The sequence below is a fragment of the Homo sapiens genome, chromosome 7 (assembly GCF_000001405.40).
Source record: "Homo sapiens chromosome 7, GRCh38.p14 Primary Assembly".
In the NCBI taxonomy this organism is placed as follows: domain Eukaryota; kingdom Metazoa; phylum Chordata; class Mammalia; order Primates; family Hominidae; genus Homo; species Homo sapiens.
In genome coordinates this window covers 22,796,170-22,808,431 of record NC_000007.14, presented here as the reverse complement: position 1 = coordinate 22,808,431, position 12,262 = coordinate 22,796,170, and the positions used below count along the sequence as shown (strand labels likewise).

Sequence of the window (12,262 nt, the reverse complement as noted above, 5' to 3'; positions counted from 1 at the left end):
CCCCCGACCCACCTCGCAGATTGAATAGCAGGCCACCACAGACATTGGCTGAAGAGACCAGGCTCCTCCCCACTGCACAGGGTGAGAACTTCCCATGGCTCCACCCCGTTCCCCCAGTGTGCATGTGGGCATTATTCAGAAAGAGTCAGTTGGGAAAGGGTGGGCAAACGGGCAGTTCTCCCTGAGGGTCGAGGGTTTCATCTGGGACCAGCAGTCCAGTCCCTCAGCCTTCGAGCTGTTTTAGGCTTGAAGGTGAGGTTTGCCAGTGACTGTTGACTGTCTCCTCTATCACGCTCTTCTCTAAAGAAGTACATCTAATTGCCATTAGATAAGCATAAGGATGAGGACAAATATCAATCTTAACTGCTTCCTTCTGGCAGGGGGTGCTGTTTTGGGAAGACAGCAGTCAGAACTCCCACAGAGGCCTATCTAAGGGTCTCTGGCAAAAGGGGCCATTGTCTGAGGCTCTGGTTGTATGACCGTTTCGAGTTTGATGTCCTGAAGGCAAGAAGAGACAAACTGGGTTATTAGAAAACAGGTATCAAAACAAAACAAGGGGAGGGTAAGGACAGCTCAAAAATCCTGAGGCCTTTTATCAGTTTGCATAGGGATAGGGAAGCCAAAAGCCTGGCTGATAAAAACAACAACAATAACAAAAACTTTACCCTTTTGCTGGCATGTGAGGCTTCTGGGTTCCCTTCCCCAAGCCCAATCCTAAGCCAACCAGTTTAAGGTTTGGGAAATTAACTTTTCCCAGTTTAGAGGATGTAGCCAAGGGAAGTGTCCCATAGTGCAGAGATACGATTACGTATCTGTGAAGAAATAACAGAGGAGGAAAAAAAAAAAGGTGTTTTTTCTAAAGGAGTCCCAGGGGTTCAGGATGCATTTGAAAGGGATACAGACTGAAGATGAATGGCTACTCATTTAGAAAGGAGAGAGCGAGGCATCCCAGGTTCCCTTCTCTTCCTAGCAAATACCCACAGTACATGAGGGAAAGTGAGGTGTTCCTCTCCTCTTCCTTTCCTCCATCCTTGTATCCCTGAGTCCCAGTGACTGTGACAGTGTGTTGCCCATGGGTGCTAAAGTGGCTTCCATCCATGTTAACGGGGGCCTAGGGGCTGGGAATATTCACTCTTACCCATGTATGCCCTATCTCCTGTGCTGTCAGTAGCCTTTGAATTCCCTAGACATCATTTATGCCATGGATACTAGCATGAACTTTATCTGTGAAATGGGAAGCTTGGCTTAGTTGACAGGAATCAGTCACACTTACCTGCACTGTGTCTTTTAACTTTTGTTATTGTCTGCCTCTGGATCCCTCAGATCCAGTTTTCTTTCCTAGGACTTTGACCCGAAGCTTGGAATTGAGTTTGGGACAAAAATGTGTCTTAGGGGCATTGCATGGACTCCTTATCATAAGCTGAATACTAAGGTGAAGCTGTGGAATTGAGTGCTCCTCTAACAAGGGAGAGAAAAGGATGTATTGTGACACACCCTGATAACTGGTGGCTGTAGTTATGCTTGCTAAGATTTGGGTGCATGTGGCTTGGCTGTGGTTAGCTCCCTTGGTCTTTCCCCAAAAGGAAACCTCCGGCTGATGGGCGCTCTATTTATTCCCATCACCCCGCAGGGTCTGCAGGATAATTGCTAGTGTTAAAATATTGATCCAGATTATCCATGCCATTTTGTTCCTTCTGAGCTATAGTTGGAGATACTGGATGGTTCACAGGAATTAGCAGGGTCAGTCTAAAATGTAGGCAAAAACTTGAAAACAACGAATGAATCTAGAAGTTAATGACAAATGTATGATAAGTTTTGAAACATAATTTCTCTGTTTCCAGTCCTCATTTCTGTTAAAAACAAACCATGATAGGACTGAGTTGTTTGCAGAATAGACTTTAGTCTTATACTTGGCTTGATTGTTTGCATAAAGTACAGCAAAAATAATTATTTTTACATAGGCCTGGTAGATTGGCCTTGATGGAACTCTGATCCACAAGAAATTTCAATCTTTCTAAAACCGAGCCTAGCCATGGGTTTGTACCATCAAATACCTGTGAGTTGGGTGATCCTCTCCTCTTAAGGTCCTGAGATAAAGTTGGAGCTCTTGGGCCTGTCAGAAAGTGACATTCTTTACTTATCACAAGTCAGGAACCCTGTACAGGGACTGTGTAGACAAGGTGTGAGGCCAGTTTTCCCAAGGGGCTTTTATTGGCTCTACCAGTTGAGCTTCACTCCTTAAAGGGAAGCACACCCTTCCAGTCAAAGCCTTGGTAAGACAACCAGTTTCTACAATTGTGTCATGTTGCAAAAGAAAAGGGATTCTTATTGCACTGATGCAAATAACTATATTGCCATAAGTTAAGAATACTCACAACTAGTTTCTAAATTCTGGAGAAGCCAGGCAGAGAGAGAGAGAGAGAGAGAGAGAGAGAGAGAGAGATGCTCCAAATTTTGTTCACAGGAGTTTACCTTACTCAATTATTAAAGGCCATAAATAGTTCAAAATAAGCTTCCTTGAGTCTGAAAAACAAAATGAGAATCAGCAGTGTTCCAAGCAAAAGTAAAAAAGATTATTTCAGTTTTCTATTAGTTCAGTCCATTCCATTAACTCTTGTTTTGCTTGATATTCACGAACATGTCAGCTCTTCATGAGTCCTGTATGTTTTCCTTTATTCCAGTGTCACAATCTTCAAAGATATCAGAAACCTGCATTTGAGAGCACCTGTTAAAGTTCTATAGCTGATTACACACCATCTTCTGAAGATGATAAAAACAACAATCATCTATAAATAACAAAATGTCCAGGGTAGTTACAGTCAGAAACATGATTGACAAAGAAATTTGGTTTATTTCTGTGGTTTACAATAATTTAACCACCTTGTGATTGATAGCATATACTCAGGCATTAGAATTTTAGAAATCCCATACAATTTTGGAACGTATATTAATATTCACTAAACCTATATTAATATAGGTTATTAATATTAATTACATATTAATATTAATTATCTATTAATATTAATAACCTATATTAATATAGGTAATATAGGTTAGTGAATATTAATATATGAAGATTAAACAACATTTTGGCAATCCCATGTACCTAGACATGTCCGGTAATTCTGTTTACCTCTCTTCTGGATGTTCCAGGGGCCCTCTATAGCATCCAAAAGGCAGGTGTCAGGAAAGACAATTTTGAAATAGAAGTTTGATTTTGGGAAGCTTGTTAAATGTTAGAAGTTTAAAACACTTGATGTTATGAAATAGAATTCCAGATTACCATAACTTATTTATTTTGCCAAAATGATGACTCAGAAATGTAAAAGCAGGAAGGTCACGGTGGCTCAAGTCTGTAATCTCAGCACTTTGGGAGGCCAAGGCAGGTGGATCCCTTGAGGTCAGGAGTTCAAGACCAGCCTGGCCAACATGATGAGACCATGTCTCTACTAAAAATACAAAAATTAGCCAGGCGTGGTGGTGGGTGCCTATAATCCCAGCTACTCAGGAGGCTGAGGCGGGAGAATCGTTTGAACGCAGGAGGCAGAGGTTGCAGTGAGCCGAGATTGTGGCACTGCATTCCAGCCAGGGTGACAGAGTGAGACTTCATCTCAAAAAAAAAAAAAAGAAATTTAAAAGCAGAAACCTTTTATAACTCTTTACAAATTTTACTAAAGAGCAGATTGGTGCTCAGTACCTTGTGCTTTTATTTCAATGTTTAATTTACAGAAAAGCCATATTTGAATTTAGCCAATGTGTTCACACACAGAATTTCTTTTGCAAGATTAATTTTTACATTCCTTTTACAACTTGTTTGAACTTTTAGCTTTATTTTATCTAATTCAAAACAATCGTTTAACCTTAGGCAAGAATTTTACATTTCCACACCTTCCTATAATCTTTTATTAAAAACGTATTTTACTGTTCTTATACACCTCACATGTATTTCTCACAAATCTATTTCCAGTAGTCTTCATTATATGTTACAATGGTAACTCCTAGCATTTTTAAACTTTAATGTAAAACCTGGTAAGTTTTTTTTATTTTTGTTTTTTTTTTTTTGAGACAGAGTCTCACTCTGTTGCCCAGGCTGGAGTGCAGTGGCACGATCTTGGCTCACTGCAAGTTCTGCCTCCTGGGTTCACGCCATTCTCCTCCCTCAGCCTCCCGAGTAGCTGGGACTACAGGCACCCGCCACCACACCTGGCTAATTTTTTGTATTTTTAGTAGAGACGGGGTCTCATCATGTTAGCCAGGATGGTCTCGATCTCCTGACCTTGTGATCTGCCCGCCTCGGCCTCCCAAAGTGCTGGGATTACAGGCATGAGCCACCATGCCCAGCAAGTTGTTTTAATTATGTACTAGGTACAGCCAAGTTTTGACTTCTAGCATAATTTAGGGTGTGGTTAATTCCATATGTCCTCAGACCTTACTGGTTTTGAAGCAGGCAAGTCGAACAGTTCTCAAAAACCACAAAGCAGTTTATAGCCTTAAAGCCTTTTGCAAACCTAGTATCTGATCTGCATAATTTAGTCCACCTATTTACATTTTGATGGCATTTTACCAATAATCTTTAAGGCTGTTTTTATTTCTCAAACACTAAAGTCATGTGAACTAAAAGTTACCACAGCTTTTATCTTCCCTTTAAAAAATATTTGATCCAAGCACTTATCCTTCTTTAAGTAAATTAATTAGATCTCTTTTTAATAGACATCACACACAGCATATATATAACTACACAGACAGGCAAAGAAAACCCAGTAACCATAAGACTTTTCCTTTTGCCAACCTCCTAATTGGATTATTTGCCTCTGGGTGGAGCCCTTCAAGAGCAAGGCTAGGAAAACATGCAGTTTTTAGGGTCTAATAAACAGGTACAGCTGGAAGGCAAAAACAGATTTTGAGAGGGATCCATGGGGAAAACAGAGGTCTCTCTCTTCTTGTGTATTAAGAGTGGCAAGGCAAAATGGAAAGAAATAATTCAGTCAACTGAGATAAAACCCTAAACCCCTTTCCAGCAAAACAAGAACCAAGAAGAGACAAATATAACGGCCTTTTAAATATACCTATAACTTGGATATCCACTTTTAATTAAGCTGAGTGCTCTTTAAGAAAATCCTTTTAAATCCCTTGTTACCCAATTTTAGCTGTGCCAAGTGGCCAATATTTCTGGCTTTCAAACTTTACTAAAGGTGACCTCCCAGGTGCTCAGAGAAAGGAAAATCCAAGGTGGTTCATGGAGGGAAAGAGAATCAACAAATGATAAAAATAATGCAGATATCAAACCAGAAAAGACTCATTCCCTCAGCCAGGATTGAACCTGGGCCACCATTGTAAAACGGCAAAAGCTAAAACAAAGCATTGCCACGTGGTTACAGGTCACACTTCCAAGGATGTAAAACAAGATGGAAGCCTGCAGCAAAGTTTGCTACTGACCATACAGAAAGACATGCAAAGCACACCAGATTGGCTACAGCTTAAGACCAACCTCACAAATCCTTTTTCATAATTAAAACTTTACAGAGAATATAAACTGTTAGTTAGGGGCTTGGCCTCGTAAAATGTCTTCTAAAAAGAAAAAAATCGTCTTGCATTAAAGTTAACTCCTGACCTGGTGGAGAAAAGAAAAAAAATAGCTTAAATGCAGGGCTGTGTTAACTGCTGACAGGGTAGAGAGAAGAAAAAAGATGTATGCAGAAGAACCTCCTATTCTTATGCAAATAGGTTCCTCTAACAGGGAGACTAACTTAATTGCTGTCTGACAGCTGGACCCCTGGCCAGGGGAGGGGAAGACACTGTGGATGTGTGGTGGCAAATGCAAGCCAGTCTGCCTCCTGGCACCCTTGGGCCATGCGCCTTAGCACCAGGGGGAGGAGAAGGGGGCTGGGGAGCTGCTATTTGCCCATTCATCTCATGCATGCCTGCGGCTATTGGGGGGCGGGTGGTGTGCAGTTTCCTCTACCCTCAGAAGTCCAAGGACGAAAAGGCTTAGAAATGAAAGGGAAAAATATTTTTTTGTTCACATCTTACTCACCCTTCCTTGATCCCCAGATGTGCCACCAAACTGATGTAGAAGTTTTGCTCCTTAGTTTAGCTAAATCCAGGTTTTTGTGTCACAACCAGGAGAAATTAGGCACATGGACACATTGAAGGCTGAGGAGGGCTGGATTCATTGGCGAAAAGGAAAAAAAAAAAAAAAAAACTGAGCAAAGTGACAAGGCATCCTGCTAATGGGCCCCTACCTCCCAGGTTGAATACCAGGCCACCACACACAAAAGCTGAAAAGACCGGCCTCCTCCCCTGGCATAAGGCATGAACTTCCTATGGCTCCGCCCCATTTTCCCAGTGTGCAAGTAGGCATTATTCAGAAAGAACTAGTCAGGAAAGGGTGGGCAAACAGGGGCAGTTCTCCCTCTGGGTTGTAGGTTTCATCTGGGACCAGCAGTCCGGTCCCTCAGCCTTCAGGCTGTTTTAGGATTGAAGGTGTGGTTTTGCTGGGGACCCTTGGCTGTCTCCTGTCTCTATCATTGCCTCCCCATCCTTCTCTCCTTTAATCTCACTTTTTCTTTTTTCTTTTTTTTTTTTTTATTGATCATTCTTGGGTGTTTCTCACAGAGGGGGATTTGGCAGGGTCATAGGACAATAGTGGAGGGAAGGTCAGCAGATAAACAAGTGAACAAAGGTCTCTGGTTTTCCTAGGCAGAGGACCCTGCGGCCTTCCGCAGTGTTTGTGTCCCTGGGTACTTGAGATTAGGGAGTGGTGATGACTCTTAACGAGCATGCTGCCTTCAAGCATCTGTTTAACAAAGCACATCTTGCACTGCCCTTAATCCATTTAACCCTGAGTGGACACAGCACATGTTTCAGAGAGCACAGGGTTGGGGGTAAGGTCACAGATCAACAGGATCCCAAGGCAGAAGAATTTTTCTTAGTACAGAACAAAATGAAAAGTCTCCCATGTCTACTTCTTTCTACACAGACACGGCAACCATCCGATTTCTCAATCTTTTCCCCACCTTTGCCCCCTTTCTATTCCACAAAACCGCCATTGTCATCATGGCCCGCTCTCAATGAGCTGTTGGGTACACCTCCCAGACGGGGTGGTGGCCGGGCAGAGGGGCTCCTCACTTCCCAGTAGGGGCGGCCGGGCAGAGGCGCCCCTCACCTCCCGGACGAGGCGGCTGGCCAGGCGGGGGGCTGACCCCCACCACCTCCCTCCCAGACGGGGCGGCTGGCCGGGCGGGGGGCTGACCCCCCCACCTCCCTCCCGGACTGGGCGGCTGGCCGGGCGGGGGGCTGACCCCCCCACCTCCCTCCCGGACGGGGCTGCTGGCCGGGTGGGGAGCTGACCCCCTCACCTCCCTCCCGGACGGGGTGGCTGCCGGGCGGAGACGCTCCTCACTTCCCAGACGGGGTGGCTGCCGGGTGGAGGGGCTCCTCACTTCTCAGACGGGGCGGCTGCCGGGCGGAGGGGCTCCTCACTTCTCAGACGGGGCAGTTGCCAGGCGGAGGGTCTCCTCCCTTCTCAGACGGGGCGGCTGGGCAGAGACGCTCCTCACCTCCCAGACGGGGTCGCGGCCGGGCAGAGGCGCTCCTCACATCCCAGACGGGGCGGTGGGGCAAAGGCGCTCCCCACATCTCAGACGATGGGCGGCCGGGCAGAGACACTCCTCACTTTCCAGACTGGGCAGCCAGGCAGAGGGGCTCCTCACGTCCCAGACAATAGGCGGCCAGGCAGAGACGCTCCTCACTTCCCAGACGGGGTGGCGGCCGGGCAGAGGCTGCAATCTCGGCACTTTGGGAGGCCAAGGCAGGCGGCTGGGAGGTGGAGGTTGTAGCGAGTGGAGATCACGCCACTGCACTCCCGCCTGGGCACCATTGAGCACTGAGTGAACCAGACACCGTCTGCAATCCCGGCACCTCCGGAGGCCGAGGCTGGCGGATCACTCGCGGCTAGGAGCTGGAGACCAGCCCAGCCAACACAGCGAAACCCCGTCTCCACCAAAAAAATACGAAAACCAGTCAGGCGTGGCAGCGCGCGCCTGCAATCGTAGGCACTGGGCAGGCTGAGGCAGGAGAATCAGGCAGGGAGGTTGCAGTGAGCCGAGATGGCAGCAGTACAGTCCAGCTTCGGCTCGGCATCAGAGGGAGACCGTGGAAAGAGAGAGAGAGGGAGAGGGAGACCGTGGGGAGAGGGAGACTGTGGGGAGAGGGAGAGGGAGCTAATCTCACTTTTTCTTCAAAGAAGTTTTACCCACCTGATATATACATGTAAAGTTATAATTTAACATATGTATATGTGTATACATACATACATATATATATTTCTTGTCTCCTGCCTGTAGAATGTAAGCACCATAAATACGGACACTGTCTTTTGCTGTAATTTTAGAGCCTAGCACAGGTCCTGGCACATGGTAGGTGTTCAATGAAAATGAATGAATGGATTGCAGAATTATACGTATTAAGTATAAAATGCATTTGTGAACTGGATATTGGCATAATATGAATCATAAAGGGCCAATATTTTTCACTGTTAGTCATAATGGGTAATTGCAGTCCTGGCCAAGGACTTGACATCAAAGGATGCTGGGAGGAGGTGACATGGGAGAGAGAATGTTTACTATGACTTGGCAGTTTATTCATTTAGTCCCCACAACAACCCTGGGCATTATTGCTATTTTGCAAATGAAACAGCCATGGGTAATTTTCCCCCAAAGCACAGGAAAAACGGATTTGGACCCAGGTCCACTAACCAGATGCTTATGATCCTATTACTGGTATGTGCTACTTTTCAAAATAATTTATACAATGGATGAAGGCTGGGCGCAGTGGCTTGGGCCTGTAATCCCAGCGCTTTAGGAGGGCAAGGCGGGTGGATCACTTGAGCCCAGGAGTTTGAGACCAGCCTGGCCAACATGGTGAAACCCTGTCTCTAAAAAAAATACAAAAATTAGCCCTGTGTGGTGGCAGGTGCCTTTAATCCCAGGAGGCTGAGGCAGAAGAATTGCTTGAACCTGGCAGGCGGAGGTTGCAGTGAGCTGAGATTACCTGCACTCCAGCCTGGGTGACAGAGCAAGACTCCGGCTAAAAAAAAAAAAAAAAAAAAAAAAAAAAAAAAAAAAAAAAAAAAAAAAAAATTTATACAGTGGAAGAAATGTTGTACAGACAATTACAAAAACTAAATTTCAAGTTCCATAGAAAGGGCCCATGTACTTTACCCAATATTCAGTGCCTTATATTATACACATAGAATAGTCAAATTCATATCATAAATTTAACTTCTTTCTCTCTCTCTCTCTTTTTTTTGGAGACAGGGTCTTACTCTGTCACCCAGGCTGGAGTGTGGTGGCATGAACATGGCTCAGTTCAGCTTCGACCTCCTGGGCTCAGGAGTTCTGTCCACCTAAGCATCCTGGGTATGTTACCATGTCTAGCTAATTTATTGTATTTTTTTGTAGAGACTGAGTTTCACCATGTTGCCCAGGCTGGTCTTGAACTCCTGAACTAAGTGATCTACCCGCCTCAGCCTCCCAACATTTTGGGATTACAGGTGTGAGCCACTGTGCCTGGCCGTAAATTTAACTTCTTCGAAATTAATGTGTTAACAGTAGTAAACACTAAACATTTATTTTTCTGGTCTTTCCTTAAATAGCCTACATTTTTATTGTGTCTATTACATGCAAAACAATGAACAGATCTGTTTTTGTTTTTTGAGATGGAGTCTTGCTCTGTCGCCCAGGCGGGAATACAATGGAGTGATCTCGGCTCACTGCAACCTCTGCCTCCCAGGTTCAAGCAATTCTCCTGCCTCAGCCTCCTGAGTAGCTGGGATTACAGGTGTCCACCACCACACCCAGCTAATTTTTGTATTTTTAGTAAAGACAGGGTTTCACCATGTTGGTCAGGTTGGTCTGAAACTCCTGACCTCAGGTGATCCACCCACCTTAGCCTCCCAAAGTGCTGAGATTACAGGCATGAGCCACCGCACCCAGCCACAATGAATAGATCTTAAATGCACATGCGATTTGTTGAATGTTGCCAATTGAGTATACCCTGTAACCACCACACCACAATGGGGACCAGGATCTTCTTGAACCTGGTATCCTTAGTGTACCATACATGGTAGATACTCAATACATGTGTGATTTTGGTTTTTCTCTGCTGAACAGTCCAGGGGGATTTTTAAATTAAGTATTAAAAACTTTGATGTTGACATAGATAAACTAATATGGGAAATTTTAGCTGATGCTGTTCTTTCCTGTCAGAAGCAAAGTTATAAGGATATTAAAAGGTGAATAATAATCTTGGAGTTTTACTCAAAACTGAAAAAAACAAAGTGCGCAGCAGCACTTTCTCTTCTTTTTCCTCCTGCCTCAAGAATAGCCCAGATGAGAAAATAAAGAAAGGGACATGGAAACAGGGTGAGGAAAAACACTTTTTTTCTCAAGAAAACTTAGACTTGCACCATTAATATGGTTTGTCTGTGTCCCCACCCAAATCCCATCTTGAATTGTTAACTCCCATAATTCCCATGTGTCATGGGAGGAACTTGGTGGGAGGTGGTTGAATTATGGGGGTGGCTCTTTTATGCACTCTTCTCATGATAGTGAATGAGTCTCATGAGATCTGATGGTTTTAAAAATGGGAGTTTCTCTACACAAGTTCCCTCTCTCTCTTTCTTTCTTTCTTTTTTTTTTTTTGAGACGGAGTCTCACTCTGTTGCCTAGGCTGGAGTGCAGTGGCACCATCTTGGCTCACTGCAACCTCTGCCTCCCGAGTTCACACGATTCTCCTGCCTCAGCCTCCAAGTAGCTGGGATTATGGCATGCACCACCATGCCCAGCTAATTTTTTTGTATTTTTAGTACAGACAGGGTTTCACCATGTTGGCCAGGGTGATTTCAAACTCCTAACCACTTTGGCCTCCCAAAGTGCTGGGATTACAGGCGTGAGCCACTGCGATGGCCCACAAGCTCTTTTTGCCTGCTGCCATCTATGTAAGATGTGACTTGCTGCTCCTTGCCTTCCACCATGATTGTGAGGCTTCCCCAGCCATGTGGAACTGTAAGTCCAGTTAAACGTCTATCTTTTGTAAATTGCCCAGTCTCAGGTATGTCTTCATCAGTAGCATGAAAATGGACATATACAGTAAATTGGTACCAGTAGAGTGGGGCGCTGCTGAAAAAATACCCAAAACTGTGGAAGCGACTCTGGAACTGGGTAACAGGCAGAGGATGGAACAATTTGGAGGGTTCAGAAGAAGACAGGAAGATGTGGGAAAGTTTGGAAGTTCCTAGAGACTTGTGGAATAGCTTTGACCAAAACACTGATAATGATATGGACAATAATGTCCAGGCTGAGGTGGTCTCAGAGGGAAATGAGAAACTTGTTTGGAACTGGAGCAAAGGTGACTCTTGTTATGTTTGAGCTAAGAGACTGGTGGTATTTTGCCCCTGCCCTAGAGATTTGTGGAACTTTGAACTTGAGAGGGATGATTTAGGGTATCTGGCAGAAGAAATCTCTAAGCAGGAAAGCATCCAAGAAGTGACTTGGGTGCTGTTAAAGGTATTCAGTTTTAAAAGGGAAACAGCATAAAAGTTCAAAAAATTTGTAGCCTGACAAGGCAATAGAAAAGAAAATCCCATTTTCTGAGAAGAAATTCAACCTGGCTGCAGAAATTTGCATAAGTAATGAGGAACCAAATATTAATCACCAAGACAATGGGGAAAATATCTCCAGGGCATGTCAGAGAACTTTCTGTAGCCCCTCCCATCACAGGCCTGGAGGCCTAGGAGAAAAAAGTGGTTTCGTGGGCTGGGCCCAGCGTCCCGTGTTGTGTGGAGCCTAGGGACTTGGTGCCCTGTGTCCCATCTGCTCCAGCCATGGCTGAAAGGGGCCAACATAGAGCTCAGGCCATGGTTTCAGAGGGTGGAAGCCTCAAGCGTTGGCAGCTTTCATGTGATGTTGTGCCTGTGAGTGCACGTAAGTTAAGAATTGAGGTTTAAGGCTGGGCATGGTGGCTCACGCCTGTAATCCCAGCACTTTGGGAGGCTGAGGCAGGAGGATCACAAGGTCAGGAGATCAAGACCATCCTGGCTAACACGGTGAAACCCTGTCTCTACTAAAAAATACAAAAAAATTAGCCAAGCGTGGTGGCAGGTGCCTGTAGTCCCAGCTACTTGGGAAGCTGAGACAGGAGAATGGCGTGAACCTGGGAGGCGGAGCTTGCAGGGAGCCGAGATCGTGCCACTGCACTCCAG

General features: G+C 45.0%; 2 annotated features.

Annotated features, from left to right (window-relative positions):
- Window positions 5,530-6,430: an enhancer, noted in NCBI's record as "OCT4-NANOG-H3K27ac hESC enhancer chr7:22841621-22842521 (GRCh37/hg19 assembly coordinates)". NCBI's record gives its function as "activates a minimal SCP1, AML or CMV promoter by ChIP-STARR-seq in primed H9 embryonic stem cells {active_cell/tissue: H9 hESC(primed)}" and the evidence as "EXISTENCE:reporter gene assay evidence [ECO:0000049][PMID:30033119]".
- Window positions 7,332-8,233: an enhancer, noted in NCBI's record as "H3K27ac hESC enhancer chr7:22839818-22840719 (GRCh37/hg19 assembly coordinates)". NCBI's record gives its function as "activates a minimal SCP1, AML or CMV promoter by ChIP-STARR-seq in primed H9 embryonic stem cells {active_cell/tissue: H9 hESC(primed)}" and the evidence as "EXISTENCE:reporter gene assay evidence [ECO:0000049][PMID:30033119]".